A 19,740-nucleotide genomic window follows, 5' to 3' on the forward strand; every position below is an offset into this window, starting at 1 on the left:
TGTAGGGCGAAAGCAGCCGTAGACAACTGGGTATGGCTGTGTACCAATAAAACTTTACTTACCAAAACAGGCAGTGGTGGAGCATAGTGGCTCATGCTTGTAATCCCAGCACTCTGAGAGGCTAAGGTGGACAGATTGCTTGACCCCAGGAGTTCAAGACCAGCCGGGGCAACATAGTGAAACCCCACCTCTACTACAAATACAAAAAAAAATTAGCCAGGCATGATGGTGCATGCCTGTATTCTCAGCTACTTGGGAGGCTGAGGCAGGAGGGAAAAAAAAGAACAACAAACAACAGGCAGTTGGCTAGATTCTGTCCACAAGCCATAGTTTGATAACCCCTTCAGTGGATACTAGTTATTAAAGCAAAACAAACAAAATAAGTCTTAAGGAGGCCCCTAAAGTTGTTGAAGATTTAAGTCAACCGAATAGTTTATAATCAAAGATCACCAGATTGACAATGAAGCAAGCTCTATGGCTGAGGGTTGAAACAATAAAAAATAAAAAAATAAATAAAAATAGACCACCAAAGACTTTAGATATTGCAATTTTCAGGTAATATAAAACAGCCACCTTATTTTAAAATTGCAACTCTCCTTCCTCTCTGTACTTTCTCCTTGTTTTGTTACTCTCCATTTCAATTATCACCTACTATACTGCGTAATTTGCTTATTTGGTTTATTGTATTTCTTCTGCTACTGTGATGTAGTCTATATGAGAGCAGGGTTTTTATTTCACTGCTATAACCCCAGCACCTAGAGCAGTGCCTTTCATGTAACAGGGGTCAGAATTAAACAGTCATAAAAATAAGCTAACAGTAAGAGGCTATGATGACTGACGAGGTGAATATGAGAGGGAAACAAATAGAACTTTTACAAATGAAAAATACATTTGTTGAAGTAAAAAATTCAACGGACGGGTTAGATTAGTCACAGCTGAATAGAAATTAGTGAATTGGAGGTGATCTGTAGAAATTACCAGAATGTGGCACAGAGAATCAAGAAAATGGAGAATATGAGAGGTTAAGAAATATAGAGGATAAAATGAAAAGATCTAACAATATATTTAATTGGAGATCCAGAAAAAAAAAAAAAAGAGAATGAAGTGAAGGAAATATTTGAAGAGGTAATTATCTTACTTGCTACCAGGATACTTGAGTGCCATGTGGGCATGTATGATAGAGCTAGGAGAAATAGCAGGTGGTTCTGGCATCTTCCTTACCATCGTGTCTCCCACTTTGACTGCAGTCGTGACCACTGATGTGCCAGTCTGCTTCAGTCTCTACCAAGCCCAGAACTTCACCCTCTATCGGGTCCTGAGGAAAAGCAGCTTCCACGGTTTATTTCAAGCTGGATGAGGATCCAATTGATGCCATATCCCTGTTGTAGCCTTTTGTGGTGAGACAAGGCGCTCATCAGGACAGCAGATTCTTCAAAGCCTTCCACACCAATGTGAAGGACAGTAAGATGTGGAAGTTCCTGGGTTTTGTTTTTGGACAATGGGAACCAAGGGTGGCATCCCTACACTCCATAGTGTAGGGCCTGACACGATGTAAACTCCCTCCTCCAGTAATCATTCATCAAGAGTTTCAGTGTTGTGATAACCTGTGAGTTCTCCACATAGTGGCACATCATGGACCTCATTTCCTTCCTGGATTACAACTGCACCTTGGACAGTGAGGGCTCTTTTGGAAGTGCACACCTAGCTGACCTGCCCTCCAACTCAAAAGTGGACAAGACCTGTTCAGAGGTGTTAAGCACCCCCACACTCAATGTCCATTCAGGCCAAAAGTATGCTCTTTGCCCCAAGGGAACCAAAGTCATGATGACATATGCCAGAGCTTGGGTAAAGGATACAGTGAGGATTCTTGGATTTCAGAACAAAGTATTCCTGGAGCCCCCTGTACTTCATGAAGCCTATGTCCAGCTTGTTGTCAAAGAAATGTAGATTAATTCAAAAGGAACACAGGATTCTATCGGTCCTTTTCCTAGTCCTGAAGACAAGGTCAGCTATGTAATATCCAGGGCCCAGTGCAAAATGAAAAGGCAAACTCCTTGGGCCGGGTGCGGTGGTTCATGCCTGTAGTCCCAGCACTTTGGGAGGCTGAGGTGGGCGGATCATCTGAGGTCAGGAGTTTGAGACAGCCTGGCCAACATGGTGAAACCTCGTCTCTACCAAAAATACAAAAGTTAGCTAGGCATGATGGCATGTGCCTGTAATCCCAGCTACTTGGGAGGATGAAGCATGAGAATCACTTGAGCCCGTGAGGCAGAGGTTGCGGTGAGCTGAGATTGTGCCACCACACTCCAGCCTGGGCAACAGAGTGAGACTCTGTCTCAAAAACGAAAAACCAAAAAACAGAAAAGGCTGGGCACGGTGGTTCATGCCTGTAATCGCAGCACTTTGGGAGGCCAAGGCAGGAGGACTGCTTGAGCCCAGGAGTTTGAGACCACCCTAAGCAACATAGCAAGACGCTGTCTCTACAAAATATTTGAAAATTAGCTGGGTGGAGTAGTGTGCACCTGTAGTCCCAGCTACTAGGGAGGCTAAGGTGGGAGTATCACTTGAGCCCAGGAGGCTGAGGCTGCAGTGAGCTGTGATCACACCACTGCAATCCAGCCAGGGTGACAGAGCAAGACCCTGTCTCAAAAAAAGAAAAAAAAATTAAAAGGAAAAATTAGGTTAAAGGTACTAACTATAAAGCTTTTTCCATCCTTTAACAATTTCTCAACTGGTCGTGGTTTTAAATTTTGCTACTTAATGCCATTCTAAGTAAAGTAAAATTGTTAGCATGAATTTTATTATTCATTTTCATATTGTGTAATGATCATTTTATTTTTTTGAGACAGAGTTTCGCTCTTGTTGCCCGGGCTGGAGTGCAGGGGTGTGATTTCAGCTCACTGCAACTTCCGCCTCCCAGTTTCAAGAGCTTCTCCTGCCTCAGCCTCCTGAGTAGCTGGGATTACAGGCGTGCGCCACCAAGCCCAGCTAATTTTTGTATTTTTAGTAGAGACAGGGTTTCACCATGTTGGCCAGGATGGTCTCGAACTCCTGACCTCAAGTGATCCAACCTGCCTCAGCCTCCCAAGGTGCTGGGATTACAGGTGTGAGCCACCAGGCCTGGTGTAATGATCATTTTAAATACAAACATAAGAGCCTTTACCTCTTATGTGAAATTAGAAATTACAGAATTGATATTTGTGTCTCATACACACAAGTATTTTGTTCTTACCAGGGGAGTGGAAACTCTGCACAAAAGTAACTCCACTTTTATTTGAGACAGAGTCTCGCTCTGTCGCCCAGGCTGGAATGCAGTGGTGCAATCTCGGCTCACTGCAGCCTCCACCTCTCAGGTTCAAGCAATTCTCCTGTCTCAGCCTCCTGAGTAGCTGGGATTACAAATGTGTGCCACCACAGCCAGCTAATTTTTTTTTTTTTTGGTATCGTTAGTAGAGACGGGGTTTCGCCATGTTGGCCAGGCTGGTCTGGAACTCCTGGCCTCAAGTGATCCGCCCGCCTCAGCCTCCCAAAGTGCTGGGATTACAGGCGTGAGCCACTGTGCCTGGCTGAGATGACAAATAGGATGAAGTCTTGGGGTGTTTCGAAGGAAAAAAAATGGGGTGAGAAAGGAATAAGAGGTGGCTTTGAGTATATCATCTACTACAAAATACTGGAAAAAGGCTGGTAGAAACTCAGTGACTTTAAAATTATCTTTAAGCAAATGCCTGAGAAAGGCAAAAGTCTAAAGAAATGATGGTCACTTTTTCCAGAAGTGCTTAAAGAATTGAAATGCTCCTTTGAGGCAAAGGGGACAGTCATTCTGCTTAATTGCATCTTCAGGCTTGAACAAGGTATCATCTAGGACAGTAGGTTTTAAATTTTTTTTAATGCAACCCACAGTAAGAAATAGACTATACAGGCCAGGTGCGGTGGCTCAGGCCTGTAATCCCAGCACTTTGGGAGGCCGAGGCGGGCAGATCACGAGGTCAGGAGATCGAGACTATCCTGGCTAACACGGTGAAACCCCGTCTCTACTAAAAATACAAAAAATTAGCCGGGCACGGTGGTGGGCACCTGTAGTCCCAGCTACTCGGGAGGCTGAGGCAGGAGAATGGTGTGAACCCGGGAGGTGGAGCTTGCAGTGAGCCAAGATAGCGCCACTGCACTCCTGCCTGGGCGAAAGAGCGAGACTCCGTCTCAAAAAAAAAAAAAAAAAAAAAAAGAAATAGACTATACATAATAACCCAATCATACACACATATAGAAAGTCCCATGAAACAATATACTTACTAATATGATGCATTCTGAAATTTTCTATTTCTTTTTTTTTTTCTTTTTGTAATGCTGGTTGTAACTCACTAAATTGATTTCACAACCTGCCCATGGATCTCAGCCTGCAGTGTGAAACACAGTAACCTAGGGAAAATGAGTCTAGATGGCTTTTACCAAGGGTAGTGGAAGTGGGGCCCACATTGTGAGAAATACAACCATAAGTAAAAAGTGCTAAATGGCCTCTCTTTAACCAGAGACCACAGTCTGTAACTTCCCCTGCTTTCAGTGGTTACCTCTGGGTTTCCCCTGTTGTGATTTATAGAAAATGACTATCACTTTGGAATTGAGCTGGTGGATTTCTACAAAGATTCTTGGTATTTCATGGTTATTTTCTGATGTAGAGCAAGACTTCATGTGAATGAAAGCAGATTCATTTTGCCTTTCTTGCTTGGGTACCCCAGGCTGATGTGGAATAAAAAATTGTTGGGTGATTTCTCTTACATTTCTGCATAATGAGTGAGGGAAGTGTGTGTGTTTAATTCCGAAACCAATAAACTGGGTTGCCAGAAAATCATTGATCATAAGAAGTGTATGGCACTGAACTGACACCCTGTGCTATATGGGCCATTATTTTTCTTCATTGCAAAATCACTATTTTTTATTTATTTATTGTTTTTGAGACAGAGTTTTGCTCTTGTTGCCCAGGCTGGAGTGCAATGGCGCAATCTCAGCTCATGGCAACCTGTGCCTCCTGGGTTCAAGCGATGCTCCTGCCTCAGCGTCCTGAGTAGCTGGGATTACAGGCATGCGTCTCCATGCCTGAATTTTGTATTTTTAGTAGAGATGAGGTTTCTACATATGGGTCAGGCTGGTCTCGAACTCCCGACCTTGACCTCCCAAAGTGCTGGGATTACAGGCATGAGCCACCGCGCTCAGCCATGCAAAATCACTTTTTAAACTGTTAATATTTCATATAAGAAAGGCTTGGCTTATCTTACTGAATCTGGTTGCAAATTGTCTTAATAATCCCAGTTCTGAATAGCAACCTGCAGGGGATGGTGGCTCAGGCCTGTAATCCCAGCACTTTAGAAGGCTGATGCAGGAAGATCACTTGAGCCCAAGAGTTTGAGACCAGCCCTGGCAACATAGCGAGATTCCATCTCTACAAAAAACAACTAGCCAGGTGTGGTGGCACATGCCTGTAGTCTTAGCTGCTTGGAAGGCTGAGGCAGGAGGATCGCTTGAGCCTTGAGCCATGATCCCGCCACTGCACTCCAGCTCTGGTGACAGAGCGAGACCCTGACTCTAATGAAAAATAATAAAATGAATAACTTATGTAAGAGTTCTGCATTATTCCCCTTAATCCCTGAGTAAATCTGGCTGAAATACAGAGTTTGTGACCCTTGGGAAGTCAAAACTCTCTGTGAAGGACCCTTCAAAATACTTTTTTGCCTTTGCTCTAAAATGTTAGCTCCTAGTAGACAGGAGAGAATCATTTATTCATGTATTTAATTGGCCAGGTGTGCAAAGCACTGTATTAGTGATGGCCCTATATAGACCTTTATTATGCAGTGGTTCCCACATGTGAAAAGAGTGAATGTACCATAATCATTTAGGGAGTATTTTAATAATAAACTCTCAAAAGTTTTGCTAAACTGCAATTTTATATTGGCTGGGCACAACACAAAACAGCCCAAAGTAGATATAATTATATAAAGTTGATTTCAGCCCAGCCCAGCCCAACTTTCCACAGTCAACTTGAAATTTTCTCACTGTTACTAACTGGTGTCTTTCAAACCCATGTCCAAGGTTACGGGTGGGAGTGGTAGAGAATTGTCACTAGCTCTGCCGCCTATTGAATTGCTTCTGTGTCTAGGATTTAGCAGTTCCTGTCCCAGACTGGGGCCTGACTCAGCTTTCTGCCAGGACTCTTCTCGTCTGTGGCTGTGCTTTCTAGTCTTCTGGGCCATAATCAAGGCCAGTACATCCAAGACGCCAGCTGTGAACAGACTAGGATTTGATAGGGCCCCTCACTGTCTGATGCCTCTTTCTGGTGGCCTTGCCAGGTTTAGAACAGGCAGCCTGCTAGGCTGCCTTCCTGGTAGTAGAGGCTTTCCAGGTAGTCAGGCTGCTTTCTACATGCATGATGTTGGGCTCAGTTAATATTTGTAAAACAAATGTCCTCTGGAAAGGGCTCTGCCTTTCTGAGTTACTGCCTCTCTTCTACCTCCTTTAATGACCTGCTCATTTTAGCATCTCATTGAAATGCACACATCTTGTGGTTTCCTATGCTCTAAAATCAGTGCCAGACTAAGAGCTCTTCAAACAGGAGCCTTTCCCCCCTCCCCGTCCTTTTTTTTTTTTTTTGAGACAGAGTATCACTCTGTCGCCCAGGCTGGAGTGCAGTGGTACGATCTCCATTCACTGAAACCTCTGCCTCCTGGGTTCAAGAAGTTCTCCTGTTTCAGCCTCCCAAGTAGCTGGGACTACAGGTGCACACCACCACGCCCAGCTAATTTTTGTATTTTTAATAGAGTCGGGGTTTCACCATATTGGTCAGGCTGGTCTCGAACTCCTGATCTCAGGTGATCCACCCGCCTTGGCCTCCCAAAGTGCTTGGATTACATGCATGAGCCACCGCGCCTGGCCCTTTCCTTATTTTTTGAATGCCCGTTGCTTAACACACTATATGACTCATAATAGACATTCAAAGAAATGTCAAATGAATGAAAAAATCAGCTAAACAATCTTTGCTTAAGTGAATTTCTGATGATTTTCAGGCTATATAGAAGAGAGTATAGGGGAGGTGAAGGCATGCTGGAACACCACTAGGTCTAGTCCCTTATGTAAAACTGTCCTGGGAAAAGAAGGGGAAGATTTGTGCCCCATTTGCCCCAGTATTCTTAGCCCCAATACACACACAGCCTCTTATGTTTTCTTCAGCAGTGTTTTTCAAATGTTAGCATGCATTGGGATCATCTGGAGGGCTTGATAAATCAGATTGCTGTGCAACATCCTAGAATTTCTGGTGCAGTAGGTTTGGCGTGGGGCCAGACAATTTGCATTTTTAGTAAGTTCCTAGGTCTGTTGATGCTGCTGGCCCAGGGTCCACACTTTCCAGGGTTCACACTTGGAGAATTACTGTATTTTCTTTCTTTTCTTTTCTTTTTTTTTTTTTTTGAGATGGAGTCTCACTCTGTTGCCCAGGCTGGAGTGCAATGGTACGATCTTGGTTCACTGAAACCTCTGCCTCCCAGGTTCAAGCGATTCTCCTGCCTCCGCCTCCCAAACAGCTGGGATTACAGGCGCCTGCCACCATGCTCAGCTAATTTTTGTTTTTAGTAGAGACAGGGTTTCACCTTGTTGGCCAGGCTGGTCTCGAACTCCTGACCTCAGGTGATCCACCCACCTCAGCCTCCCAGAGTGCTGGGATTATAGGCATGAGCTACCGTGGCTGGCCTGTATTTTCAATAGTAGTAGCTACACTATTAGTTGAGTACTGACCAGCTTATTCTTTACCATGCACTGTGGTAAATTCTTTATATATGTTATTTCATTTCCATTCAACAACCCCATGAAGGAGAAATTGTCATCTCAATTTTACAGATGAGGAATCTGAGGAATAGAGTTGTTAAAAAACTTGCCTAGTATCTTATGTACAGGGTTGAAATTTGAAGTAAATTCTGTCTGATTCATAGTAAGTGTACAACAAATACGTAATTGTTGAAAACGAATGCATAAAGTATCTAGGCAAACCTAAAACTTGTGAACCAAGTAGGTACCTGTTCACATATACAGACTGAGCGTGCAGAAATCCTGTATTAGACTGATGGGTATTTACTTCACTCCAACTCAAGACTTCTGAATTAGCAAGGCAACTTTATGTATGAGACTATATTGCCATTGTTTCTCAAATTGTGGCTCCTGAACCAGCAGCATGAACATCACCTGAAAACTTGTCTAAGACTACCAGATTTAGGGATTTAGGGATGCCAGATTAAATTTGAATTTCAGATAAACGATGAATAATGAAATCTTTGAGACATACATATACTAAAAATTATTCATCGTTTATCTGAAATTCAAGAATCTGATATATGGGAATTCTATATTTTATTTGGCAAGACTATTAGAAATTGAAATTCTCCAGCCCTAGCCCAGACTTAATGAATTAGAAACTCAAGTGAGTCCCAGCCATCAGTGTTTCAATAGGCCCTACAAGTGATTCTGATGCACCCTCAAGTTTGAAAACCAATGACCTAGGCAATGCCTTGTTCACCTAAAGCAGTGGTTAGCCGAACCTGGCCAGCTGTCTGTTTTTGTCAATAATTTTTGTTTTGAAACACAGTTACACCCACACCCATTCTTTTGCTTATGCTTTTATTTACTTACTTATTAAGTTACCTGCCCTCTTGAAGCTTATATGGTCTAGCTGTGGACAGTTGTGTTAATTATATCTTCAGGTGTAAGTAACAATAAAACAAACTAAAATTGGCTTAAGTAATAAAGGAATACAAGATCTTGCATAGCCAGAAGTACAAAGGCTGCAGGGATGCTTGGCTCAGCAGTTCTTGTGTTACAAGGGCATGACAGGACAAAGACCTTATGGCCCTAGAATGTTTGCTATCTGACCTTTTACAGATAATGTTTGCTTAACCCTGACCTAAGAGAGCATCCTCTGATCATAGAAGCATATTCTCAGCCCTCTCTAACAGGTGCTGGAAGCTGGGATAGGACAGACACTGAGTTTCCGAAAATTGAAAAGTCCCTTCTGAGCTTTCTTGCATTGCTGTGTTCCTTGGCTCCAAGAGGGGTTCGGGGGAAGATGAAGGGCAATGCAGCAAAGGAGGGGCTGAGGAGCAAAAAAAAAAAAAACAAAAAAAAAACAAAAAAAACCAAAAACTTCCCAGAGCCCAGAATACCTGGTTATGGGCACCCCCTGCTGGAGAGTTGGCAAAATTCTGTGACATTGGTCAATTTAGTCACCAAATGTGTAGAGGTTGACTGTATGCCAGATTGTGGAAAGCAAAGGTAAAGTTCTCTTGAAGAACTGACTCACAGTCAAGAGTAGTCAGGCTCCCTAATTAGATCTTTATGCTGTCTAGTCAAGTGTCAGTTGCAGTCGTACTTAACAAATGATGATTGATATAATATGCTTATAGTCACTCAGTAAATAACTATTACATGTTTGCTAGGGGATAGGTGCTGGACTACACACTGGAGACAGAGTAGTAAACAAAATAGACACATTCCTTGCCCTCTTGGAGCTTATATTCTAGTGGATGTTGTGTTAATTATAACATCAGTTGTAAGTAACAACAAAGCTAACTAAAACTGGCTTAAGCAATAAGGAATATATTATCTCACATAACTGTAAGTACAAAGGTAGGATAGGCTTTAGGGCTAGTTGATTCAACAGCACAAGACATCAATAAAGACAAGTTATTTTCATCTCATTCTCTGCCTTTCTGATTGTACTGGCATTTTCCTCAGGTTGTTCCTTTATTATTATTATTTTTTCTTTTTTTTGAGATGTCTCACTCTGTCTCCCAGGCTGGAGTACAGTGATGTGATTTCAGCTCACTGCAACCTCTGTCTCCTGGCCCCAGGTCAGGGCCTCCGCCTCCTGGGCCCAGGCCCTCCCACCTCAGCCTTCTGAGTAGCTGAGACTACAGGCATGTGCCAACCACCCAGGTAATTTTTGGTTTTTTTTTTTTTTTTTTTTGCCATGTTGCCTAGGCTGGTCTTGAACTCCTGGGCTCCAGTGATTGAGCCTCGGCCTCCCAAAGTGCTGGGATTACAGGCGTGAGCCACCTCACAGGCCTCAGGTTGTTCCTTTTGAAGTTTCAAAATGGTTGCTACAACTCCAAGTATCACCTTCAGATATGTCAAAGTACAGAGACAGAAAGTGATCATCTCTTTGTATGGCTTTTTCTATTTTGTTTTAAGAGACAGGGTCTCACTTGCTGCCCAGGCTGGAGTGCAGTGGCACAGTCATAACTCACTGCAGCGGCACAGTCATAACTCACTGCAGCGGCACAGTCATAACTCACTGCAGCGGCACAGTCATAACTCACTGTAGCCTTGAACTCCTAGGATCAAGAGATCCTCTAACTTCAGCCTCCCAAATTTCTAGGATTACAGGCGTGAGCCACTATGCCTGGCTGTGTAACTTTTTTTTTTTTTTTTTTTTTTTTTGAGACAGGGTCTCACTCAGTCACTCAGGCTGCAGTGCAGTGGCACAATCACAGCTCACTGCAGCCTCAACCTCCTGGGCTCAAGCGATCTTCCTGCCTTAGCTTCCTGAGTAGCTGAGACTACAGGCCTGTGCCACAACACTTGACTAATTTTTTACTGTGGCCTTCTTACAATGAAGACACTTTTCTCAGAAGCTCCCAGAACACTTCCTTTCAGGTTATGGGGCTGATCCTAAACCAATCACCGCAAAGAGAAGAGTAAATTGTTGATTAAAATAGGGGCTTCCCCTGGGGCTTCTGAGTCACAGAGAGGAGAGATGGATGCCAGGACAAAATTGGGGTTCTGTTAACAAGGAAGAAGGGAAGAAGTGGATGTTAAATAGACATCTACCAGCATTTGCTATAGGAAAGGGAAACTAATACATAAAAATTATTTTCATGGGCCGAGCCCAGTGGCTAACACCTGTAATCCCAGCACTTTGGGCAAAGCCAAGGCGGGTGGATCACCTGAGGTCAAGAGTTCGAGACCAGCCTGGCCAACATGGTGAAATCCTGTCTCTACTAAAAATACAAAAAATTAGCTGGGCATGGTGGTAGGCACCTGTAATCCCAGCTACTCAGGAGGCTGAGGCAGGAGAATCACTTGAACCCGGGAGGCAGAGGTTGCTGTGAGCTGAGATTGCGCCATTGCACTCTAGCGTGGGCAACAAGAGTGAAACTGTCTCAAAAAAAAAAAATTTTTTTTCATATGATGAAGGAATTACAAAGAAGTTAGCTTTTGCTGCTGAACAAAACACCTCCAACCTCTATGGCTTAGGACAGCAATTTATTTAACTCATGATTCTATTTGGGCTGAGCTCAGCTGGGTGGTTCTTTTGGACTTGACTGGACTTACTCATGACTGTGGTCAGCTGCAAGTCAGCTAGGTAGCTTTGCTCATGGGATCTGGCTGTTAGCTGAGGAAATGAGTCCAGGTGTCTTTACTTATCCAGCAGGCTCTCCTTGGCTTATTCCTGTAGTAAATCAGCAAACTTACAAGGACTAGAGCAGATGCTTGCAAGTAGTTTTGAAACCTAAGCTTGGAACTGGAACATTATCAGTTCTGCTGCATTCTTTAGGTCAAATCAAGTAAGAAGGCCAAGAGGGTGAAGAAATAGATTCCATCTCTTGAGAGGAGGAGCTTCAAAGTCACATTGCAAGGGCATGGACCCAGGTAGGGAAAGAACTTGTGACACTTTTGCAATTTATCACAGGTGGTAAGAGTAACAGGGAAAGCTACCTAGATCTGCCTTCAAGAGAGAACTATCCTTTGTAAAGTTTCAAATCAACAATATGTCTACTCTGAGCTGAAATTCTTATACTAGTATAACTGTTACTGATGGTTTCATTACACTGTTCTAGGTAGCAAAAGTTCAGGGGTTGTGATGCTGTGATTTAAAACAATAATATTAGGGTTTTCTGAGCTTCTTCCTGAGGGGCAAGGAGATCTGTGGTCTCATTTTTGGCATTTCCACACAACATGGCCCCCCAAATCCCATGATTTCTATTTCTGCTTCAAAAGAAAAAACCAAGAGCACCTTCTGCCTTGAGGCTGGAAGAGACATCAGTCTGTCTGGGCTTGCTGAAGAAGGGAGAAAAAGAACAGCAAGAAGCAACTGAACATATTGATGAAGTACAAAATGAAGTAGACTTAATAAGCCAATGAGGAGACTTTGAAAACAGAACAGAAATATAACAAACTCGGCCAACTGTTTTTTCAGATGAGGTCTGAATTGATAGCCAAAATCCCAAACTTTGGGGTAACAGCATTTGTCAACCATCCACAAATGTCTGCACTGCTTGGGGAGGAGGATGAAGAGGCACTGCCGTATTTAACCAGTGTTGAAGTGACAGAATTTGAAGATATTAAACCAGGTTACAGAATGTTTTTATTTTGACAAAAATCCTGACTTCAAAAATAAAGTTCTCTCCAAAAAATTTCATCTGAATGAGAGTGGTGCTCCATCTTCAAACTCACTAAAATCAAATGGAAATCTGGAAAGGATTTGATGAAAAATGCAAGTCAAATGCAGAATAATGCCAGCAGGAAGAGGCAGCATGGGGAACCAGAGAGCTTCTTCACCTGGCTTACTGGCCATTCTGATGCAGGTGCAGATGAATGAGGAAAGGTCATCAAAGATGGTATTTGGCCAAATCAATTACAGTATTACTTGGTTCCCAATAATGGATGATGAGGAAGGAGAAGGAGAAAAAGAAGATGAAGACAGGGATGAGGATGAAGGTGAAGATAAAGGTGATGAAGGGGAGGAAGGAGAGGAAGATGAAGGAGAAGATGACTAACAGAACACCAATGGATTCCAACCTTCCTTTTAAAACATTTTATCCAATCCCTGGGAGCAACTTGCAGTCTTTGTGTTTTTGCTGTTGTGCTCAATCACCCCGTTGTTGAGGTCTTTTCTCCATACCATGGTCCCTAACTCATTTTCGGGAGAAATATATTGAGCAAAGGTGGGCATTTTGACAACATGATTTCTCCTTTCATATGGATGGAATCATATATGTGGTCTTTTGTGGCTTCTTTCACCTAGCACAATATTTTCAAGGTGTATCCATATTGTAGCATGTATCAGTACTCTAATTTTTTATGCTGAATAATATTCCATTGTATGGATATACCACATTTTATTTATTCATTCATCTGTTGGTAGAGATTGGGTTTTCACCTTTTAGCTATTATGAATAATGATGCTGTAAACCTTCATGTACAAGTTTTGGTGAGGACATGTTTTCATTTCTCTTTATCTTAGGAGTAGGTTCACAGGGTCACATGGTAGCTGTTTTCCACAGCGGCTGCACCATTTTATATTCCCATCAGCAGTGGATGAGCGTTCCAGTTCCACATCCTTACTTCCTAGTGGGTATAAAGTGTTCTATTGCGGTTTTGATTTTCATTTCCCTAATGATATCCAGCATCTTCTCATATGTTTATAGGCCACTTATGTATCTAACTTGGAGAAATGTCTACTCAGATTAGTAGAGGACTGAATAGACCCTCCCCGCTCCCCTAAATTCATGACTATTTGGTACCTGTGAATGTTGCCTTTTTGGAAACACAATCTTTGCAGATGTAACCAATTTAAGTTGAACCCATACTGGAGTAGGGTGGTCTCTAAATATAATGACTGGGGTTCATACAAGAAACACAGAGACACAGTGAGGAATGCCATGTGAAACAAGCCAATGAGGCAGAATTTGAAATTTATCTATAGGTTAAGGAATGCCAAGGACTGCTGCCAACGCCCAGAAGCTAGGAGAAAATCATGGAATAGATTCTCCTCTGGAGCCTTCAGAGGGCACATGGCCCTCCCAACACCTACTTTGACTTCAAACTTCTAGCCTCCAGAACTATAAGAAAATAAATTTCTGTGGTTTTAAGCGTCCCAGTTTACAGTGATTTGTTACAGCAGCTCTAGGAAATTAATAAAAACCCATGGCCCATTTTTACATAGGGCTGTCTTATTTTTTTTTAAAGATGGGGGTCTCACTATATTACTCAGGCTGGCCTTGAACTTGCAGGCACAGGTGATCCTCCTGCCTCAGCCTCCTGAGTAGCTGGTACTATAGACATGTGCCACTGTTCTCATGTTCTTAGCTTAGTGTTATCTTCTTTTTTTTTTTTTTTTTTTTTTTTTTGAGACAGAGTCTCGCTTTGTCGCCCAGGCTGGAGTGCAGTGGCGTGATCTCGGCTCACTGCAAGCTCCGCCTCCCAAGCTCAAGTGATTCTCCTGCCTCAGCCTCCCAAGTAGCTGGGATTACAGGCATGCACCACCACACCCGGCTAATTTTGTATTTTTAGTAGAGACGGGGTTTCTCCATGTTGGCCTGGCTGGTCTTGAACTCCTGACCTCGTGATCCACCTGCCTCGGCCTCCCAAAGTGCTGGGATTACAGGCGTGAGCCACCGTGCCCAGCAGTGTTATCTTCTTATTGAGCTGTTAAGTCCTTTAAATATTCTGGATACAAGTCCCTTATCAGATATATGATTTGTAAATATTTTCTCCAATTCTATGGGTTTTTTCATGGATCTTTTGAAGCACATTTTAAATTTTGATGAAGTAGAGATTATAAACTGTGCTTCTCTTGCTCATGGTTTTGGTGTCATATTTAAGAATCCTTTTCTAAATCTAAGGTCATGAAGATTTAACCCTGTTTTCTTCAAGAATTTTATAGTTTTGACTTGTATATCTAGATCTTTGATTCATTTTGGGTTTTTATATATATTATGAGGTAAGGATCCAAGTTTATTTTTTTGCATGTGGCCATCTAGTTGTCCCAGCATCATTTATTGAAAAGACTATTCTTTCCCCCCATTGAATGGTATTGGTGCTCTTGTTGAAAATAAGTTGACCATAGACATATGGTTTTATTTCTGGACTCTTGAATCTAATCATCTATATGTCTACCCTTATGCCAATACCATAGTGTGTTATCTTGAACTCCTGGCCTTAAGTGATCCGCCAGCCTCGGCCTCCCAAAGTGCTAGGATTACAGGCATGAGCCACCCTGCCCCGCCTTTTAAATACTATACTGTCTTGATGACTGTTTCTTTGTAGCAAGTTTTGAAATCAGGAAGTATGGATATTCTTAGTTTGTTCTTTTCAAGATTGTTTTGGCTATTCTGGATCCTTTGCTTAAGAGTTTTAGAATCAGGTTGTCACTTACTACAAAGAAGTCAGCTAGGAGTCTGATGGTAATTGCATTGAATCTGTAGATCAATTTGGGGAGTACAGCCTTCTAAACAATATTAAATCTTCTGACCCATGAATATGGGACGTTTTCCCATTTATTTAGATGTCCTTTAATTTCTGTGTTACTCCATTTGCATTGCTATAAAGAAGTACCTGAGGCTGGGTAATTTATAAAGAAAAGAGGTTTATTTTGACTCAGTTCTGCAGGCTGTACCAGCATGGCAGCAATATATGTCCAGCTTCTGGTAAGGGCCTCAGGAAGCTTACAATCATGACGGAAGCGGAAGGGGGAGCAGGCATATCACATGGCGAGAGGGAGCAAGGGAGATGCCAGGCTCTTTATTTTTTATTTTTTTAAACAATCAGCTCTTGAATGAAATAATACAGTGAGAACTCATTACTGCAAGGATAGCACCAAGCCATTCACGAGGGATCTGCCCCCATGCTCCAAACACCTCCCACTAGGCCAACCTCCAACAATTAAGTTCACATTTCAGCATGAGATTTGGAGGAGACAAATGTCCAAGCCAGATCAATTTCTTACAACAATTTTTTGTAGTTTTCAGAGTATATACTTTATACTTCTTTTGTTAAATGAGAATTTTAAATGAAATTATCTTCTTAATTTCATTTTTGGATTGTTCACTGCAAGTGTATAGCAACACAATTTATTTTTGTATATTGACCTTGTATCCTTCAATCTTGCTGAAATTGTTTATTAGTTCTAATAGGTTTTTAGTGGATCCCTTAGGATTTTCTATATACAAGATCATGTTGGCCAGGCGTGTTGGCTGACACCTGTAACCCTAGCACTTTGGGAGGATGAGTTGGGTGGATCACCTGAGGTCAGGAGTTCGAGACCAGCCTTGCCAACATGGTGAAACCCCATCTCTACCAAAAAATACAAAAATTAGCCAGGCATGGTGGTGCATGCCTGTAGTTCCAGCTACTTGGGAGGCTAAGGCAGGAGAATCGCTTGACCCTGGGAGGTGGAGATTGCAGTGAGCTGAGATCGCCACTGCACTCCAGACTGGGCAACAGAGTGAGACTCTGTCTCAGTCTCAAAAAAAATAAAAAATAAAAAGATCATGTCATCTGTGACTAGAGATTGTTTTACTTTTTCATTTCCAGTTTTATTTATCTTGCCTAATTGCCTTGGCTGGAACTTCCAGTGCAATGTTGAGTACAAGCAGCTATAAAAGACACCTTTGTCTTGTTCCTGATCTTTCACCATTAAGTATGAGGTTAGCTGCGGAGTTTTTGTAGATGTTCTTCATCAGGTTGAGGAAGTTCTCTTCTATTCCTAGTTTGTTGACTGTTTTTATCATGAAAAGAGTGTTGGATTTTTCCATCAATTCTTAAAACGTGACCCTTTTCCCCTATGGATGAGGGATGTAAAAAAGAGCTATCTCTGCATGGATGATATAGTACAAAGCACTCTCACGTGGATGCTTCAGAAAAAGCCACCCCTCTTTGGGTGGACATAGTCTGGGATATGTTTGACTTGGTGACCAAGGACTCCTCTCTCATTTGGGTGTCCTTATTTAGGACCGAATCTGTACATGGTGGCCTTAATTTACAACCACTTTTTTTCAGTATATGGTTTCCTAGTACCCAGGGTGCCTCTGATTTAATTTTTTTCCACAGAGATTTCATACCAGTGGCCTTTTGCAAGGTGTGGATGAGGAACAGATATAAACATCTTAACACTGATTTTAAGCAATCTACCTGTCTTACCCTTGCATTCTGTGGCCCCTGATATCTCCAGTTCCTGAGCTTCTCTGATATTTATCTTTCTCTGTAGTACCTGAGTTTGATCTTCCACGCCTCTGCTAAGTCATTTGCCTTTCTTTTATCTACTTTCCATTGATATCTGTTGTGACTTGGGGTTACAGATATCTCCCAGTTCAGGGAAGACAGAGTTTGTGTGTCTATTTGTTGTTCTCCTTGTTTTGTAAAGAAAAATTTTTCAGAGAAGAGAAAAAATATTTTTTTGCTCTCTTCAAGTCAGAATTCAACCTAGAATTGGAAGAAACATAATGGCCAAAATGATAAAATAAATGATCTCATCATTAGGTTAATTAATGAAGAGCTAACACCAGGATTCAGAATCCCTGATACCCTGGCCACAATTAAACTATAACTGGTTCTTACTCCATAGAATCATATAGTTTGAGATGGGGGGGAGTACCTCTGAGGTTTTCAGCCAATTTCCCCAATTTTCCGTAAGTCTCCTCAACAATGTAAGTGGATTTCAGCATTGGTTACAATATCAATGTGAATAGGAGCATTCACTCTATTCCATGACTATCTATTCTTATTTCAGAGAGCTCTGATTATTGGAAAGATTTTTTTCCCTGAAACATTTTTTCACTTCCTCACACTGTATCTAGTTCTGCCCGCAGAAGTTACAAAGAACTACTGTATGTACAAATAATATAGTTTGGTAGCTGGAATACTGGCTACTCTAGAGATATGATACTGTACTCACTGCCTCTAACTCTTTGTACAATCTATAACTAAGACAGTTGACCAGCAAAATGGAGAAAAAGCTCATATCTCACATAACAGAGATTGAGACAATTAATAAACATCATCTGTAATTTATAAAAAAAATTCTAAGCTAGCTAGTTCTCAATCCACTAAATATAAGATTGCTGGGTAGGAGAAGAAATGACTATCAGGTGGGTCATAGAAAGGTTAGTGAAGAAAAGTGAGAGGATGTGTAAGAAATAACCAAGTGAATATTACAGGGAGATAAAACAAGTTGCATAAGCACATACAAATTTAAAAGTAGGAGTTGCTCAGAGAATTCAAAAGTATGGCTAGTGCACAAGGTGGGTATGAAGAAGACATGGAAAATTAGTTAGGAAAGGCAATAATGCTAAATATTAACATTTATTGAGTAAGCTACATTCTGGCCACTATTGAGTACTTTACGTGTAAGAACCCTCAAAACAACTTTATGAGGTAGATACTACTATTACTTCATTTTAAAGATGGGGAAAAGGAGGTATGGGAGTGTTAGGTTAACTTGCCTGAGATTATGTAACTAATAAATGGCAGAGATGGGCTCTGAACCCAGGTAGTGTGGGTGCCTTAATTTATGAAGTGGTCTTCATATGAATGGCCTTTTTATTCTGAAGGTTCTAGGACTTTTTAGATAGTAAGTTGGAAACATTGGTAGATCCTTTCCTACCTCTTCACCTTTGGCACAGCTATCTCAAAGGAGTATCGGTGATAAGATAGGTGATCAGTTTAGGGATCCACAGTGGAGGCCAGAGGACTGTTCCAAACACTGATCCCCCATATATAAACTGAGAACTGGGAAGACAGACCTGCTTTACGGCTGGTGGCCAAGCTCAGATATTTCAAATTGGACAGAGACCCTTTACTATCCTATTCAAGAAGAAAAGGAATTGGAGCTGTGAAAGGGAGAATAAGTATTGGTGGCAATCGGTACTTAATGCCAGTATTTTTTTTTTTTTTTTTGGCTATTGTTTTGTATTTCCTATGAAACTTTTCTGCAGATCCACATAGAAAAAAAATAGACATTTTTACAATAAAACTCCCACTAATTAAGCACAGCCAAGCACTGTTTTAAGTGTTTTATACATATTAGCTCATTTAATCCTCACAGCAACCCTAGGCAATAGGCTCATTATTTGTCTTTTGCAAAGGAGGGGCACTGAAGCACAAAGACATCTACAACTCGTCCACAATTGTACAGCAAATGAATGGGAGAACTAAGTGAAGCTGGAAAGAACTACTATAAATTGTAGACAAGTACAAAACAATTGGTTAAAGATTAATACTTCTGAGACACTGTGTAGCAGAAAGAAACCCGGATTTGGATTAGGACTTGAATTCAGCCTCCAACATTTACTGCTGTGTAAAGATTTGAGGCTGATCACTCCTATAAAATTTGGATTATAATACTTACCTCATAGGGTTTTTGTAAAGATCTAGTGACGTGATTATTGTAAAAGTGCACCGTTAATCTCTCAGATGTCACAGAAACGTTAGAAGCATCTCTTCCCAGGATTGTACATGGAAATGAAGGATCCACAGATTTTGTGGCTATAAAACACCCGGACTACCGATCCCAGTGTGCAAAGCCTCCAGGCTTACCTTCCCGGAAACTGGCGCGGTGCCCTCTGGGACTTGTTCTGGGACTTGTAGTCTTGTACTGGCGCTGGCCCGCCTTTCTTCCTTAGTGGGGAAAACCGGGTGTAAGCCCCGGAAGTACTTGTTGCCTGAGCAGTGGGCTGCTTAGGAAGAGAAGGTCAGAGTTCGCGGGGGCAGAGGCATTCTTGCCGCTGGCCCAGTCACTATGTAGTGGAGGGGCAGACACCCTCCCGCAAATTCTGGAAGGTTCTTAGTCTCGACTAGGGCAGTAGCCCCAGGACTCCTAGTCGCCGGCTTCAGGTCACTGCCGGCTGAACGGAGCTGCCGTCGCCATGTTTGGCTGCTTGGTGGCGGGGAGGCTGGTGAGGATGGGACCGGGTGATATCAGGAAGGGGT

The 19,740-nt window shown here is 42.1% G+C and overlaps 2 protein-coding genes and 2 pseudogenes across 14 annotated transcripts in view, besides 1 other annotated feature; all 4 read left to right on the top strand.

The window, feature by feature from the left end:
* Nucleotides 1-4,843, top strand: part of EED (embryonic ectoderm development) — a 42,863-nt gene extending 38,020 nt beyond the window's left edge. For all 4 annotated transcript variants that reach the window (NM_001440588.1, XM_017018512.3, NM_001440603.1 and 1 more), the window contains one exon: nucleotides 1,248-4,843. In NM_001440588.1, coding sequence (NP_001427517.1) covers nucleotides 1,248-1,260 — 13 coding nt within the window. In that variant the 3' untranslated portion in view covers nucleotides 1,261-4,843. The remainder of the gene's footprint in view (nucleotides 1-1,247) is intronic.
* On the top strand, nucleotides 1,155-1,899 carry LOC100289518 (immunoglobin superfamily member 21 pseudogene; annotated as a pseudogene).
* Nucleotides 9,095-9,389: a silencer, noted in NCBI's record as "tiled region #13347; HepG2 Repressive non-DNase unmatched - State 12:CtcfO". NCBI's record gives its function as "represses a minimal TATA promoter and a strong SV40 promoter by Sharpr-MPRA in HepG2 cells {active_cell/tissue: HepG2}" and the evidence as "EXISTENCE:reporter gene assay evidence [ECO:0000049][PMID:27701403]".
* Nucleotides 11,933-12,974, top strand: SETP17 (SET pseudogene 17; annotated as a pseudogene).
* The window catches only part of HIKESHI (heat shock protein nuclear import factor hikeshi), a 43,704-nt gene continuing 43,431 nt past the window's right edge, over nucleotides 19,468-19,740 (top strand). For 9 of the 10 annotated variants that reach the window (NR_136324.2, XR_001747904.3, NR_024597.2 and 6 more), the window contains exon 1: nucleotides 19,468-19,706. Coding sequence is in view for 3 of the 10 variants with exons in the window: in NM_016401.4 (NP_057485.2) it covers nucleotides 19,677-19,706 (30 nt within the window). In the remaining 7 variants the exon portion in view is untranslated. The remainder of the gene's footprint in view (nucleotides 19,707-19,740) is intronic. The other variant, XM_017017915.2, reaches the window with a different exon arrangement.

The sequence above is a fragment of the Homo sapiens genome, chromosome 11 (genome assembly GCF_000001405.40).
Source record: "Homo sapiens chromosome 11, GRCh38.p14 Primary Assembly".
In the NCBI taxonomy this organism is placed as follows: domain Eukaryota; kingdom Metazoa; phylum Chordata; class Mammalia; order Primates; family Hominidae; genus Homo; species Homo sapiens.